The sequence below is a fragment of the Homo sapiens genome, chromosome X (genome assembly GCF_000001405.40).
Source record: "Homo sapiens chromosome X, GRCh38.p14 Primary Assembly".
In the NCBI taxonomy this organism is placed as follows: Eukaryota; Metazoa; Chordata; class Mammalia; order Primates; family Hominidae; genus Homo; species Homo sapiens.
In genome coordinates, this window is record NC_000023.11 from 90,423,226 (window position 1) to 90,441,704 (window position 18,479).

Below are 18,479 nucleotides of genomic sequence, written 5' to 3' on the forward strand. Positions count from 1 at the left end.
GGAACAGACAGCAATCTTTGCTATTCTGCAGCCTCTGCTGGTGATACCCAGGCAAACAGGGTCTAAAGTAGACCTCCAGCAAATGCCAGCAGACCTGCAGCAGAGGGGCCTGACTGTTAGAAGGAAAACTAACACACAGAAAGGAATAGCATCGACATCAACAAAAAGATGTCCAAACAATGATCTCATCTGAAAGTCACCAACATCAAAGACCAACGGCAGATAAATCCATGAAGATGAGGAAAACCCAGGGGAAAAAAAGGCTGAAAATTCAACAAAAAGAATGCCTCTTCTCCTCCTACAAAGGATCAAAACTCCTTGCCAGCAAGAGAAAAAAACTGGACAGAGAATGAGTTTTATGATTTGACAGAAGTAGGCTTCAGAAGGTGGGTAATAACAAACTCCTCCAAGCTAAAAGAGCATGTTCTAACCCAATGCAAGGAAGTTAAGAACCTTGAAGAAAAGGTTAGAGGAATTACTAACTAGAATAACCAGTTTAGAGAAGAAGATAAATGACCTGATGGAGTTGAAAAACAGCATGAGAACTTCGTGAAGCATACACAAGTATCAATAGCCAATCGATCAAGCAAAAGAAAGGATATCAGAGACTGACAATCTACTTAATGAAATAAAGCATGAAGACAAGATGACAGAAAAAGAAAGAAAAGGAATGAACAAAGCCTCCAAGAAATACGGGACTATGTGAAAAGACCAAATCTGCGTTTGATTGGTGTACCTGAAAGTGACGGGGAAAACGGAGCCAAGTTGGAAAACTCTCTTCAGGATATTACCCAGGAGAACTTCCCCAACCTAGCAAGACAGGCCAACATTCAAATTCAGGAAATACAGAGAACACCACAAAGATACTCCTTGAGAAGAGCAACCCCAAGACACATAATTGTCAGATTCACCAAGGTTGAAATGAAGGAAAAATGTTAAGGGCAGCCAGAGAAAGTTCGGGTTACTCACAAGGGGAAGTCCATCAGATTAGCAGCAGATCTCTCTGCAGAAACCGTACAAGCCAGAAGACAGTGGGGGGGGATATTCAACATTCTTAAAGACAAGAATCTTCAACCCAGAATTTTGTATCCAGCCAAACTAAGCTTTATAAGCGAAGGAGAAATAAAATCCTTACAGACAAGCAAATGCTGAAAGATTTTGTCACCACCAAGCCTGCCTTACAAGAGCTCCTGAAGGAAGCACTAAACATGGAAAGGAAAAACCAGTATCAGCCACTGCAAAAACATAGCAAATTGTAAAGACCATTGACACTGTGAAGAAACTGCATCAACTAACAGGCAAAATAACAAGCTAGCATCATAATGACAGGATCAAATTCACACATAACAATATTAACCTTAAATGTAAATGGGCTAAATGCCCCAATTAAAAGACACAGACTGGCAAATTGGATAAAGAGTCAAGGCCCATCAGTGTGCTGTATTCAGGAGACCCATCTCACGTGCAAAGACACACATAGGCTCAAAATAAGAGATAGAGGAATATTTACGAAGCAAATGGAAGGGGAAAAAAAAGCAGAGGTTGCAATCCTAGTCTCTGATAAAACAGACGTTAAACCAACAAAGATCAAAAAAGACAAAGAAGGGCATTACATAATGGTAAAGGGACCAATGCAACAAGAAGAGCTCACTATCCTAAATATATATGCACCCAATACAGGAGCACCCAGACTCATAAAACAAGTTCTTAGAAACTTACAAAGAGACTTAGACCCCCACACAATAATAGTGGGAGACTTTAACACCCCACTGTCAATATTAGACAGAACAACGAGACAGAAAATTAACAAGAATATTCAGGAATTGAACTGAACTCTGGACCAAACAGACCTAATAGACATCTACAGAACTCTCCACTTCAAATCAACAGAATATACATTCTTCTCAGTACCACATCACACTTATTCTAAAATTGAACACATAATTGGAAGTAAAACACCCCTCAGCAAATGCAAAAGAATGGAAATGATAACAAACAGTCTCCCAGGCCACAGTGCAATCAAATTAGAACTCAGGATTAAGAAACTCATTCAAAACCGTACAACTACATGGAAACTGATCAGCCTGCTCCTGAATGGCTACTGGGTAAATAATGAAATTAAGGCAGAAAAAAAGATGTTATTTGAAACCAATAAGAACAAAGACATAATGTATCAGAATCTCTGGGACATATTTAAAGCAGTGTTTAGAGGGAAATTTATAGCACTGAAAGTCCACAGGAGAAAGCAGGAAAGATCTAAAATCGACACCCTAACATCACAATTAAAACAACTAGAGAAGCAAGAGCAAACAAATTCAAAACCTACCAGAAGACAAGAAATAAATAAGATCAGAGCAGAACTGAAGGAGACAGAGATATGAAAAACCTTTCCAAAAATCAATGCATCCAGAAGCTGGCTTTTTGAAAAGATTAACAAAATAGATAGACCACTAACCAGACTAATTAAAAAAAGAAGAGAGAGAAGAATCAAATAGACACAATAATAAATGACAAAGGGGATATCACTACCAATCCCACAGAAATACAAACTACCATCAGAGAATACTAGAAACACTTCTATGCAAGTAAACTGGAAAATCTAGAAGAAATAGAAAAGTTCCTGGACACGCACACCCTCCCAAGACTAAATCAGGAAGAAGTCAAATGCCTGAATAGACCAATAACAAGTTCTGAAATTGAGGCAGTAATTAATAGCCTACCAATAAAAAAAAAAAAAACAGTACCAGAAGCCTTCACAGTTGAATTCTACCAAAGGTGCAAAGAGGAGCTGGTAGCATTCCTTCTGAAACTATTCCAAACAATAGAAAAAGAGGGAATCCTCCCAAACTCATTTTATGAGGCCAGCATCCTCCTGATACCAAAACCTGGCAGAGACATAACAAAAAAAGAAAATTTCAGGCCAATATCCCTGAGGAACATTGATGTGAAAATCTTCAATAAAATACTGACAAACCGAATCCAGCATCACATCAAAAAGCTTATCCACCATGATCAAGTCAGCTTCATCTCTGGGATGCAAGGTAGGTTCAACATCTTCAAATCATTAAACGTAACCCCTCACATAAACAGAACCAATGACAAAAACCACGATTATCTCAATAGATGCAGTAAAGGCCTTTGATAAAATTCAACACCTCTTCATGCTAAAAACTCTTAACAAACTAGGTTTTGATGCAATGTATCTCAAAATAATAACAGCTATTTATGACAAACCCACAGCCAATATCATACTGGATGGGCAAAAGCTGGAAGCATTCTGTTTGAAAACCAGCGCAAGACAAGGATGCCCTCTCTCACCACTCTTATTCAACGGACTATTGGAAGTTCTGGCCAAAGCAATCAGGTAAGAGAAAGAAATAAAGTGTATTCAAATGGGAAGAGAGGAAGTCAAATTGTCTCTGTTTGCAAATGACATGATTGTATATTTAGAAAACTCCATTGTATCAACCCCAAATCTTCTTAAGCTGATAAGCAGCTTCAGCAACATCTTGGGATACAAAATCAATGTGCAAAAATCACAAGCATTCCTATACAACAATAATAGACAGAGAGCCAAATCACGAGTGAAATCCAGTTCACAGTTGCTACAAAGAGAATAAAATACCTAGGAATACAACTTACAAGGGATGTGAAGGACCTCTTCAAGGAGAAATACAAATCACTGCTCAAGGAGATAAGAGAGGACACAAACAAATGAAAAAACATTCCATGTTCATGTACAGGAAGAATCAATATCCTGAAAATGGCCACACTGCCAAAAGTAATTTATAGATTCAATGCCATCCCCATCAACTACCATTGACTTTCTTCACATAATTAGAAAAAACTACTTTAAATTTCATATGGAACCAAAAAAGAGCCCATAAAGCCAAGAGAATCCTAAGCAAAAAGAACAAAGCTGGAGGCATCAGGATACCTGACTTCACATTATACTACAAGTCTGCAGTAACCAAAACAGCATGGTACTGGTTCCAAATCAGATATATAGACCAATGGAACAGAACAGAGGCCTCAGAAATAATGCGACACATCTGCAACCATCTCATCTTTGACAAACCTGACAAAAACAAGCAATGGGGAAAGGATTCCTTATTTAATAAATGGTTTTGGGAAAACTGGTTTTCCATATGCAGAAAACTGACACTGGACCCCTTTCTTACACCTTATATAAAAATTAACTCAAGATGGACTAAAGACTTAAATGTAAGACCTAAAAACCCTAGAAGAGAACCTAGAAACACCATTCAGGACATAGGCATGGGCAAAGACTTCATGACTAAAACCCCAAAGGAATGGCAACAGAAGACAAAATGGACAAATGGGATCTAATTAATCTAAAGAGCTTCTGCAAAGCAAAAGAAACTATCACCAGAGTGAACAGGCAACCTGCAGAATGAGAGAAAATTTTTGCAATCTATCCATCTTACAAAGGGCTAATATCCAGAATCTACAAAGAACTTAAACAAATTTACAAGAAAACAACAAACAACCCCATCAAAAAGTGAGTGAAGGATATGAACAGACAGTTCTCAAAAGAAGACATTTATGCGGCCAACAAACATATGAAAAAAAGCTCATCATCACTGGTCATTGGAGAAATGCAAATCAAAACCACAATGAGGTACCATCTTATGCCAGTTAGAATGGTGGTCATTTGAGGACAGGCGCGGTGGCTCACGCCTGTAATCCCAGCACTTTGGGAGGCCGAGGCAGGCGGATCATGAGGTCAAGAGATCGAGACCAGCCTGACCAACAAGGTGAAACCTCATCTCTACTAAAAAATACAAAAATTAGCTGGGCGTGGTGATGTATGCCTGTAGTCCCAGCTACTTGGGAGGCTGAGGCAGGAGAATCACTTGAACCCGGGAGGCAGAGGTTGTAGTGAGCTGAGATGGCACCACTGCACTCCAGCCTGGCAACAGAGTGAGACTCCGTCTCAAAAAAAAAAAAAAACAAAAAGAATGGCAGTCATTTAAAAGTAAGGAAACAACAGATGCTGGAGACGATGAGGAGAAATAGGAATGCTTTTACACTGTTGGTGAGAATGTAAATTAATTCAACCATTGTGGAAGACAGTGTGGCGATTCCTCAAGGATCTAGAACTAGAAATACTATTTGACCCAGCAATCCCATTATTGGGTATATATCCAAAAAATTATAAGTAATTCTACTACAAAGACACATGCACACGTGTGTTTATTTCAGTACTATTTACAGTAGCAAACACTTGGAACCAACCCAGATGCCCATCAGTGATAGACTGGATAAAGAAAATGTGGCACATATACACCATGGAATACTATGCAGCCATAAAAGAGGATTAATTCATGTCCTTTGCAGGGACATGGATGAAGCTGGAAACCACTACTCTCAGCAAACTGACACAGGAACAGAAAACCAAACACCGCACGCTCTCACTAATGTCAAACAATGTGAACACATGGACACAGGGAGGGGAACATCACACACTGGGGCCTGTCGGGGGGTGGGGGGCAAGGGGAGGGATAGCATTAGGAGAAATAGCTAATGTAGATGACAGGTTGATGGGTGCAGCAAACCACCATGGCACATGTATACCTATGTAACAAACCTGCACATTCTGCACATATATCCCAGAACTTAAAGTATAATTAAATAAATAAATAAATAAAAAGACCTTCTGCAGTGCACAGAATATTATGTTGGAAGAAAACATTTCCTTCAGACCTTTCAGAAAACATTGTTAGCATCAGGCCATAACAAAGAGAACCTGGCGGGGGGGGAAGCATATATGAGCTGAAAATGAGTTGAAGGAGAGCGTTACTATTTCACGCCTTTTAAAAGCGGAGACAAAACAAAAATGATGAGACGTAATAAAAGTTGAACTTATGGTTAAAAATAATGAAAATATCTTATAATGTATTCAGAGTAAATCAATCCCTTCAGAAATTTCACTCTTCTAACCAATTCTTTAGTGTGGAAGTGTTTTTTAACATGAAACCTAATTTCTAGAAAGACCATTATAATTTCCCTTTAATTATAAACAACTTTATCACACAAAGATTTGTTTTTAATAAAGCCTCTAAGACTAAATTTAGAATACAAATTTTTTTACTCATATAAAACTATGTCTTTTAAGGCTTTCTCACCAACAAATAACTCTTTATTTCTGTAACTTTCTTCACATCTCTCTTATTTCCTGGCTCTTTTTACCTTGTTTTATATATAATATTTAAATGAAATTTGAGTTAGACAAAAAATGTTCACTGTTTTAAAAAGAACACTTTTTTAGAAAAAGAGATTTTCTACAATATATTATTATCAAAAAATACCAAAATAATGAAATATCTATTATTTAACTTTACATATTAAATTGTCATGTTTGTCTACAAGTTTTTATCCTATTACATTTACCTAATTATTTTAATCATTTACATAGATTTTTTATGAAAACTGCAATAGTTATTATGTAAGTTATAAAACTACCATTGCAAAATTATAACTGAGACAGTGAAACATATCTCACCTAACTGACTCCATCCTGTTTCTAACCTCCAGCTGTCCTTGTTTATTCCTGGACATAGGCCATAGTAACTTTGGAGGGAACTTAGTTTATAGTTTAGCTTTGAAACAAAGATAAGAACAGTCCTTTCTCAAAACAAAGCTCCTTACTACCTGTGGAATAGACTGCTTAAGGCCGTTATGGTAACTGTACTAAATAATTCCAGATGTAGCTATTTTTATTAAACCAATATCAATGTCTTATTTATCAAAAATCACACAAGCAAACATCATTCTGTTTTGGTCTGGGTTTTATAGTTTTGTATTGCCTATGCCAAACTCTGACACATAGCAGTTGACAGGGATAAGTATGAAATTGCTTGATCAATAAATGCAAATGAAAATGTATGCTGGAAGTTCCTAAGACATTTTTAATGTTACTTTACCAATAATTTTCAACTAGCTTATTTATTAGAGAATTTACTTAAGTCATATAAACTTGAAAAAACATTTAACTAGTCTTTCCTTTGTTCTGGTATTGATTTAAGTGTTTTTATTTCTCTTTAAGCCAATTAATTAGAGCTCTTTTATATATTTTAAATAGTGAAACACTGTGTACACAACCCATAAATACACAGACGTATTTGGCATGCCAATAGAAGTACATCTTATTGATTCATGAGACCTTTTTTTTCCCCCATCTTAGACTTGCAATCTCTTGATAACCTGTTTCATTATCCTGGAAGTTGTCAGATAAATCTGCATATTAAAGGAAACAACTCTTACGTGAAAAATCAAATAGCAAAATTTACTTCTCAAGGTTCAGAGAGAAAAAATCTGGTGGTTCTAGAGGGAGATTAAAGATGGATGCCACATTAAACATTAAAATAAAAATTTATCATAAGAGTGTATAAGGATACCAATTTTATTTAGATAGGGACTACCTATTTTTAACCGGATCTCTGAGCTCTGAGCAGAGCCCACACTGAATCGTGAGTCTCCAAAAGAAAATTATGAGACTAGGCCCTGTGATGAGTTTACAGTGCACCATAATTTTTTTAAACAAAGACATTTCTAAGTCTCTACACTCTTCCTTAAAAACCCAAGAGTAGCCTCTGTTGCAACAACTATCTTAGTCAAAAAATCAGGTAACACAATACAAAAGCAAGCAGTTTAAAGGCAGAGTTAAACTTTTCTGTTTACACTCTTGGGGTTCCATAAGGAAAAACAGAGGTTTCTCCCCAGAAGTGAGTCTGGCACCTTCTCCATTTTCTAATTAACCCCCAGGCAATTAGAAACTATTTTAGGTCCCTCATGCAACAGAGGATGCAAGAGAAAGGAGAGACGCAGAAGTAAATAAAGGAAACAGAATTCAGTCAACTGAGAAGGAAATTAACTTTTGCTCAGAAAGGCAAAGTCCTAGGTGAAAAGAAAAGTAAAACAAAAATATGAAGACCTTTCAAATACAAACACACACACACATGCAAACATACACACATACATCTTGGATGCTGGCTTTTAGTTAAGCTGACTTTTAACCATTGAACTCCTTTAAAAAAATCTTTTTTTAAAAATCTCATTACCATATTTCAGCTAGGGAAAATTGCCGCTACTTCAGAAGTACCAAGCATCAAACCAGAAACGGCTTGTTTTAGGAACCAAACCCAGGCTGTCATGGTAAAAAACAAAGGCAGAAGCATAGCTATGGAACTACAGTGTGGGGAAACAACCATTGCTCTTTTAGTTTGGCCTGGCTAGTGAAATGGCTAGTGAAAAGGTGGCCTTGTTATGTAAATAAAGCCCCTTAAGAAGTCAAAATAAAAAATCTTTTTCTTTTGCAGGCCATTTCCCCCTCAACTATACCACCTTTTTGTGGGGAGGGGGGAGGGGGAATTTAGCCACTTTAGGGCCTTGTTCCCCATAATTTGAAACTTCCTTTTGGATTTTATCAAGTCAGATAGAGCTGATGAAACCCAATGGGAAAAAGACTGAAACAACAACAAAAACAGAAACAAACAACAACAACAAAACAGTTAAGCAAAACAAATGATCGCACAACTTGTACAATTACTTAGCACTCTAATGGTAAGGAGAAATTAAGACAAGCTGGTTGTTAATCTTAACTTTAGCAAGGACAAACCCCAATTGAGCTAATCACCTAGGGATGGGCCTCAGGCTGAAGACTGTCCATCCTAGAAGCAGGAAAAAACTCAAATTTGTCTTCCCTGTTGGAAGCGAGCTCAAACTCCATAAAAAAGTTACCCATCTTCCATCATCATGCAAGCAGGAAAACTTGCATTTCTTGTTACTCGCAAGTAAAATTCCATAAAAGGGAGTTGTACAGCAAAACATACTTCAAATCTCGACCAAATTTTGGGATACCAGGGATTCTTTGGACGGGGTGCTTCCAGGCCTAAGCAAATTGCCCTATTGGTTTGAGCCATAAAGATAGCTCAAGCTGGTACCAAGCACCAATAGGAGATTTGTCAAAGGTCAAGGATGCTTCTACTCAGAATCTCTTCATGATTGCCAAAATGTGAATGCTGAATATCTAAGACAGGTCTCAGGAAATTTAGGAAGGTTATTTTGCCAAGGTTTAAGATGTGCACCCATTACACAGCCTCAGGAGGTCCTGACGACACATGCCCAAGGTGGTCAAAGCACAGCTTGGTTTTTACATTTTAGGGAGACATGAGACATCAATCAATATCTGTATGATGTACATTGATTCCGTCCAAAAAGGTGGGACAACTCAAAGCAGCGAGGGGGCTTCCAGGTCACAGGTAGATGAGAGACAAATGATTGCATTCTTTTGAGTTTCTGATTAGCCTTTCCAAAGGAGGCAATCAGATAGGCATTTATCTCAGTGAGCAGAGGGATGATTTTGAATAGAATGGGAGGCAGGTTTACCCTAAGCAGTTCCCAGCTTGAGTTTTCTTTTTAGCTTAATTATTTTGGGGCCCCAAGATTTATTTTCCTTTCACAGAGATCGTATACCAGTTGAGCTCTGCCATTTTCCTCTTAGTACGCAAGCTTCAGCTCACTCGCCCAACTCCTGAGATCTTACCGGGAAGCTACTGATCACCAGTTTCAGGTTTTTTCTATCTACAGGTAAACTTCCTTTCTCTGGTGCTGGCTGTGACCAATTACTATTTTAGAGGGGCAGTGTAACTGCTTGACCATCACCTGATGGTTGCCTGATATTCTTTGTTGAGGAGGCACCCTTTCCTGCCCTGTTCATGTCTGACTAGCTATTTACTGTAATATTTCTTCTCTCAAGAGTCCAAGACCCCAATTATTTGGGGAAAATGGATGCAGGTCCATCTTCTGTAACTGCTGCCTGCTGACAGAGGGGCAGTGATGGTTGTTCTGTGGGTCTTGGCCTGTTTCTAGCTGTAAGGGCAGGAAGGTGGCTTCATGATTTGGTAAAAGTGGTATCCAACCAGGTCCTAGGGAGACAGCGGCAGGATTTTGCCTCCATTATCTGGAGCTGGATGGTGTGAAGCTGAGAAGACAAACTGAGTTATTAGAATGTCAAAACAAATTAAGTGGGTAATAACAGCTCCAAAAAATTCCGAGACTGCCAACATGCCCAGGTAACTGGTCGCTATATTCATGCCTGCTTAGTCTTGGATTTATGGGGTTGCTAACTGATTGCAGTATGTGCCCAGAATTAGAATATTGATTCAGATTTTTACATTACCTATCCCTTTGTTTCTTCGGAGCTGCAGCCAGAGATCACTGGTTGGTTCACAGAAATAGGCAGGGTTAGTCTAAATTGCAGATAAAAACTCAAAAACAACTGATGAGACTAGAATCTAATAATAGGTATACCATAGTTCTTGAAACATAATTTTTCAGTCTCCAGTCCTCATTTGTTATTCAAAACAAATATAGCGTTGTTTGCAAAAAAAAAAAAAAAAAAAAAAAAAAGCTTTAGTCTTATTTTACTTGGCCTGATTATTTGCATAAAGCACAGCAAAAATAATTATTTGCCATATAGGTTTCTTTTTAATTTGGCTTTGATGCAACTTCATTCCATAAGGAATCTCAGATAAGACTCTGTTTGAAGCCTTAAGCACAGCCATGGATTGGTGCCATTAAATACATTTATGAGGGGTAAATTTCTCTCCTATTGAGGTCTCAAAATAACTTGGGGTTCCTGTGATTGTTAGAAAGTGACATTCTTTACTTATCACAGTTCAGGAACTCTGTACAGGGACAAGGACAAAATATGTGGAGAAAAGCTATGAGGCCAGTTTTCGCAAGGGGCTTTTCTAGACTCTATAAGTAAAGTTTGATTTCTTAAAGGAAAGTACACCATTCTAGTCAAAGCCTTGGTATAATAAAATAACCAGTTTCTCCAGTTATGTCCTGTTGTAAAAGAGAACAGATTCTTATTGCACATATGCAAATAACGATATTGCCATAAGTTAAGAATACTTCACAGATAGTTTCCAAATTCTGGAGAAATCAGGTAGAGAGAAATAAATATGCTCCAAGTTTTGTCTACAGGAGTGCTCAATTGTTAAAAGCTATAAGTAGCTCAAAAGAAAATTTTTCTTGGCTTTGAAAAAACAAAGAATGGATTGGCAACATTTTAAGCGAAAGTCAAAAAAGATTACTTGGGTCTTTTATTAGTTAAATGTATGCAACTATTTCCTGTTTTGCTTGAAATTTATAAACACATTAGTAAAGTCCTGTAGCTGATTATGTAACCACCTTTTAGAGGATTAAAACAAGGTGATATGGTTTGGTTCTGTGTCCCCACCCAAGTCTCATCTTGAATTATACTCCCATAATTCCTGCATGTTGTGGGAGGGACCTGGTGGGAGATAATTTGAATCATGGGACAGTTCCCCCATATTCTTCTCGTGGTAGTGAATAAGACATACAATATGTGATGGATTTATCAGGGGTTTCCACTTTTGCATCTTTCTCATTTGCTCTTGCCACCACTGTGTAAGAAGTGCCTTTCACCTCCTGCCATGAATCTGAAGCCTACCTAGCCATGTGGAACAGTAAGTCCAATTAAACCTGAGGTGAGACTGAGGTAGTCCCCGATGGAGATGAAGAACTTGTTGGGAGCTGGAGCAAATGTGACTCTTCTTATGTTTTAGCAAAGAGACCTGTGGCATTTTGCCCCTGCCCTAGAGATTTGTGGAATTTTGAACTTGAGAAAGATGATTTAGGGCATCTGGTGGAAGAAATTTTTAAGTAGTAAAGCATTCAAGAGGTGACATGGGTTTTGTTAAAGGCATTCAGTTGTATAAGGGAAGCAGTCTGACCGTAAGGTAAGAATCTCATAAACCTTTTATAAGCCTTTACCATTTTCTGTTAAAGAGCAGAATAATGCTCTAGGCAAAATGTGTCATGCTTTTTATTCCAATGTTCAATTTACAGATAAACTGAATAATACCACTTTAGTTTTAGCTAATATGTCCACAACCACAATTTCTTTACAAGATGAATTTTTCACAAGCCTTGCACGACTTGCCTAAACCTTTAGCTATATCCTAACTTAAAACAATCTTTTAACCCTCTAAGTAAGGCAAAATATCCACATTCCCATGCCTTCTTATAATCTTCTACCAAAAGCACATTCTACTTTCCTTGCATGCCTTGTGTGTAAAACTGTTTTTCCAATAGACTCAGGTACATGTTACAATGTTAACTCTTAGCAACTTTTAGTTTTGGGGAAATACGTGGTAAGTAAGCAATTCTAATTATGTACTAGGTATCTAGCCTAGGACACCAGACAGCAGTGCAGATAAGGTTTGAACCTTTATTATAGCTAGGGACCTGATTAACTTTGTATGTCCCCAGGCCTTACCTAGCTTGAAAGCAAACAACTTGCATAATTAAGAGTCTTAGTAGCAGTTTATGAAGCATAAAGGAGGCTTAATAGCCTTTAAATTGTTTAATATTTTTTTCTTAAATTTCCTTTCATGAGTCTTCTCCCAACTTACACAAATCTTCTACAACATGTTTTAACTTTCTGATTTGTCCTAAACATTCCTCTTTTTAAACACCCTGTTATTTTACTTTGGGACAACAATTTACCATACAAGATATTTTCTTATATAAAATCCCTTTTCTTTATAACATTCCTTACCAAAAATACCTCTTTGCCTTTATAACCTTTGAATTAGACAAAAGTCATTTTATTTCTGTTAAGAAATTATGGTTTGTACTACATGTTGCTGTGTATATACTGTGAAGAGGGAGCAAATAGGCAGGTTATCTGCATACTGCAGATGTTATCTCCCCTCAAGAGATTGCTTGGTAAGATTTTTTTAGGGCTTTTCTGAATAAGTGTGGACTATTTCTAAACCCATGAGGTAGGACTGACCAGATTGAAGTAGTTATTAGGGAGAAAGATAAATTCAGAGGTAGGGTAAATATTAAATTCAGAGGTAGGGTAAATATTAAGAAGTCATCCATCTTAGAAAGTACATTTTTGCCCCGAAGTGTAAATACTCTTTTGGAGGAAGGTAGTGCCATTAACCTCCATTAGCCAATAGGAGTTGAAAGAGAGTTGCTCAGGGAAGATTAGCTCAGACTAGGCAGCTCTTAAGCCCAAAAGGGAAATTTATAATTTTACTTGCCTCCTCCAGAGTTGCTCTTGGCTTTGTTCCATTGATGATGTCTGATCTGGGAGCCGATTGGTCCAGACAGCCCATTCTGCTCAAGGCCATAAAAGGTTGGGATTATTTCCCAGGGGCCCTTCCGCTCTCAGGGCAGTCCTGTTCCAGCGGCCAAGCTTGTGGCAGAGGGGCAAGCTGTGTGCAGCTTTTGCCATTTATCCCATTGGGACAGTTTGCCTTCCAGTGGCCTGGCTTACTGCACCAATGGCAGTTACCTGAAGGAGTGTTATTAGGGCAACCTGGAAGGGGCTGGAGAGCTTGTAAAGCAGTCAAAATAGTTAGCCTGCCTCCTTTCCCTGCATTTCTCCTGTTCTTAGCCCTGTCGTCCATATTCTACTCTCAGTTATAAAAGACTGAGGAAGCTAATCTCAAGACCTCCAGCACAGGGGCACTGCATTCCAAGGCTGACTTTTGTAATTTTTTCCCAGTTTATTTTAAAGCCAAACAATATTAAAACAGAAAACTCATTTTATGTGTTAAGGTTTAGGGGAATCACACATTTTCCAGTTTTAGGGGAATGCATCTGAGGGGCATGTCCTGTGGTATAAAGATGTGATTGCTAGGCTGGATGCAGTGGCTCATGCCTGTAATCCCAGCACTTTGGGAGGCTGAGGGGGTGGATCACCTGAGGTCAGGAGTTTGAGACCAGCCTGACCAACATGGAGAAACCCCATCTCTACTAAAAATACAAAATTAGCCGGGTGTGGTGGCTCATGCCTATAATCCCAGCTACTCAGGAGGCTGAGGCAGGAGAATCTCTTGAACCAGGAGGCAGAGCTTGTGATGAGCCAAGATCACGCACTATTGCACTCCAGCCTGGGCAACAAGAGTGAAACTCCATCTCAAAAACAAAACAAAAAAACAAAACAAAAAAGATGTGATTACCCATCTGCAAAGAAAACAGGAGAAAAGAAAGAAAAAAGAAAGAAGAAGGTGTTCCCTCTACTTTTCTATTATTCTGAATGGGGCATCTCCCATTGTCCTTAGGGTTCCAGAATTAACCGGTTTTACCATGTACCTTTGGTGTCATCTGTTCACAATTATCCACTTGGGAACAGAGGAGATACTGGAGTGAACAGTGGGCCCCCTGTTTATCCTTGGGGTTCTGGAATGAACCCGTCTTACTGTGTACCTGTAACCTTGCCTTTATCTCTGTTCTGATGGTAATCGGTTAGCCTGGGACCAACCTTCATCTCTGCCCTATGGGTCTCTTGCACCTGCAGCCTTGGCCCGGCCTATATCCTTGTCTTCGTGACCTTGTAATGACTGTTGCGTAAAGCCTTCCAGAAAAAGGTATATATATTTTCTTAGATTCTCATTTCCCATGTTCTTTAAGTAGATGAGAAGCCTTATAGCTAACTGCTACAAGGGGGCTGGACTTTCCTCCCCACTTGCTTCAAATATGACCTTGAAGGTCTTGATGCATATTGAGAAGGATGCGAAAATAATTAGAGAAATGGAGGCCACAGGAAGAAGTGAGAAGAAGCAAGAATCCAGCAGCCTTTGGATTCAAGAGGGTAATGTTTATTTGCCCTCTTGATGTAAAGTAGTAACTTCCGGAGGACTTGGGGCTTGGGATAAGAACTCATAAATGGCAAAGAAAAAAATCCCCTCCTGCAAAAAAGGTGCTAACTCAAAAAAGCACAAATAGGTGGGCTCCTTCAAGGGCAAGAGTGAGGCCCTATATAGGTGGACAAACTGCTTCAAGACCCTGGGAAACTTGGCCCTGGGGCATAACAGGAATTAAAAGCATATGCTAAGTTATAAGGAGATGGCAGAGCTAGGTTCCAATTATTGTCTGTCCTGGCAATGGGCCAGTAGACATCCGAAAGGAAAGTCGTTTCTTTGCTGCTGTGCAAGTGCAGTAACAGCCACAGGTGCAAGAATAACAGGAAGTGTGTGATGAGGTCACGTGACATGTGAAGTAAAAGCAAAGGGTTGGAGTTGCCCCTGAGGTGGACAGTCTGGTGGGTGTGCAAGGCCATTTTAGAACACACACAGAAAAAAAAAAAAATTGGCAATGTGAGTTCTTGGGAAACAGCCCATTTTAGTTGAAAAAGCAGACGAATCCCCAGCATTGCACGGTTTTAGGTTTTATCCCTACCACTCTCATGAGCCACCTGTCCAGGAGGGCCATTAGTGCCTCCATTCTACTCAGTTCAGACCCCAAGGCCAATCCCATCCCCACGAGTCACCCTTCTGGGTGAGCTGAGTGATAAGCTGGGGAAACACAGTCACTTATGGCCAAAAGGACTTGTTCTAGATGTTTGTTAATAAGCAGAAGGGAGACAGGGAGAAGAAACCATGTGCAGTGGTTGAACATCCCCAGCCAAAGAAGATGAGGGGTAGAGATCTCTTACCACTAGGGAATGTATTCAAGTCATGTAGCACCAAAGTATGTTAGCAGTGGAAGTTATCTGAGTCACATGGCACCAAAATATTTTGGCGGCAACGAATCTGTATGGGTCTGCAGCAACCTCGATTCTTGCCACCTCAGAAGAAATAATTCAACTGAGGAGCCTAAGGTAGAAGGAGAAACCCAGGGAAATTTTAGAGCAGGAGTAAAACTTTATTTTAAAAGCTCTAGAGCAGAAACAAAAGGAAGGAAAGTATACTTGGAAGAAGGTCAAGTGGTCAACTTGAAAGACAAGTGTGCAGTTTTACCTTTTGACCTGAGGTTTTATATGTTGGCATAATTCTGGGGCTTTGCATAACTTCTCCCCTGACTTCACCTTTGGGGTGGGCTGTCTGCATGCGCAGTGGCCTGCCAGCAGTTGGGAGGGGAGCATGTGCGGTGTGTTTACTGGAGTTGTATGAATGCTCACTTGAGGTGTTCTTTCTTTACCAGCCAAATGTCCCTAAGAAATCATATACCAGTTAAACTCTGCCATCTTGCCTCTTAGGCATTTTTCCAACTCCTGATATCTTATCGAGAAGCTACTGATCACCAGTTTCAGGTTTTTTTTCTATCTATAGGGAGACTGCCTTTCCCTGGCACCTGCTGTGACCAATTACTATTTTAGAGACTGTGTAACAACTGCCTGACCATCACCTGATGGTCCCCTGATATTCCTGGCGGCAAGGAAAAACTCTCTTCCACCCTGTTGGTGGCTGACTAGCTACCTATTGTAACAACTTGAGATAATGATCTCTGGTTCCATCTAAGTTGCTGCAAAATACATTATTTCATTTTTAGAATAATCAACATAATTTGTAGAACTATATTTAAAACTATGCTTTTGTCCAGATTATTCCTAATAGAATATTTATTCATCCTCAGAGAGTGAATCTGCTTATTCTGGATTCATGCACTAGCCTATTTATATCCACAAATCTGTGTGTACTTATTTCTATCTATTACGTTTGAATAATTTTTTTAAAAAATAAACTTCCTTTCTCTTTACAAACAAGAGTTGGAATGATACAGATGTCTCTGTGTGTGTGTTTGTAGTAATTTTTTTCCTGCTATAATCTTCTAGGTAAGATTCTTCTTCTTTGTCTTTAGGTATGCAAAGATTTGCCTCCTTATAGTATTATTTTATTTTATGTATTCATTTAATATCTTAATAAATAGGCTAGAGAAAGGTGATTTTTTTCTGTTTTTTTTGTATGTTTACATAGTCAGATGTTTAGTTAAACAATAATTGTAAGAATATCAATATGCATTTTATGATAATTTAGTTGTCATTTTTGAAATTGTTCTCTATATGTGATTTACAAACAAGGTAACCCTCTCATGAGTATTTGATATTAAGGTCAGCAGTCTTGTATGCATTGTCGTCTTTCTGTTTAGAACAGCAGTGTCTAATCTTTTGGTTTCCCTGGGCCACATTAGAGGAAGAATTGTCTTGGGCCAAACATAAAATATACTAACACTAATGATAGCTGATAAGCTAAAAAAGAAATCACAAAATAATCTCATTATGTTTTCAGAAAGTTTATGAGTTTGTGTGGGGCGGCATTCAAAGCTGTCCTGGACTGCATGTAGCCTGTGGGTCAGTTTGGTTTAGAAGCAGTCAGTGACTTCCTCCCTAATGTTACCAGATTCTTGAATTTAAAACAATGTGACAATTGAAACAGCCTGGGAACAATTACTGAATTCATGGAGGTTTACCAACATACTGTTGATACCACTCATTCGCTAGGGAATATGTAAAGTAGAATTTTGCTACATGGAAAGCAATTCTCTCCACCAAAGTGGTTTGGACCTCTGGAAAGGTTTACAGATTTCTGCAAAGAAAAGGAGATGGAGAGATTGTATCCTAGTTAAAGAATATGGTAACTTTGTTTCCGATGATTAATGGCTTTAAAACCTTGTGTTTTGGGGATATTAAATTTGAAATCAGTTGATCTTTACTCAAAAACATAAAATCCCCAATAAGTAAATGCCAATTTTACACTTTTAACAATCCTGGACAAGGGATAGAACATAGAGCTTTATTAACAATCCATCTAATAGGTGTAATAGAAAAAAAATCAGTTTTCAAAATCATATGATAATAGAGGTTTTGAAATGCATTTACCGTCTATTTCATACTCTCACTTTTTAGTGTTAAAAACAAAATTATTTATGCACTTGTTAAAATGGTAAGGAAGAGTTTATTCAGAGCTGTTGCTATAGATGTAAAAACTATTGCAGTAGGGGAGAGTGATCTGGTTCAAATCTGAATGCAGAAAGACAGCTGTGGCTAATAGCCAAGGAGCAGAGACGGGAAAAGTTGAGGAGGGTTTCAGTGGATAGCAAACTACAAAGAGAAGACATCAAGAATGGGAGATTCTTGCTAAATTAACTGATTTAGTAGAATTCTTTCTAAAACTGGGCTATGCAGTTTAAAGATTAGATGGGGGCTAATGTGAATGTTTAAACCAAAATAAGACTTAGAGGAGCCTGACTATAGTTCAGTCAAGGAGAGAGTCTTTCTCAATAGGAAGAGAGAAAGAAAGAACAGAAAACATATGCAACTTGCAGATCAAGAAAATACTTCATTGCAGATAACTTTAATTTAAAATCCCTTGCAAGCTTTTATTTATTGAGGAATTTACCCTAAGTAACCTCCAGAGTTGATTTAGTCAATCTTGACCCTGTTTCTCAGACCTGTTTCGGTGATATTTGATGTACTGGACATTGTTAGAATAAATTCAGGCCTTGCATCCTGAATCTCTAGTCTTCTATTCTAGATCACTCCCAAAGTCACTGATTAGCAAAATGACCTCTGATGCTTTCATTCATGGATTCCAGGTACTTATAATCTAGTAGAGCCTGTGGCCAACCATATAAGTGTCTGAAGTTCCACTTTGTACCACTTTGCAGCTGAAGAATTCTTTGGCTGC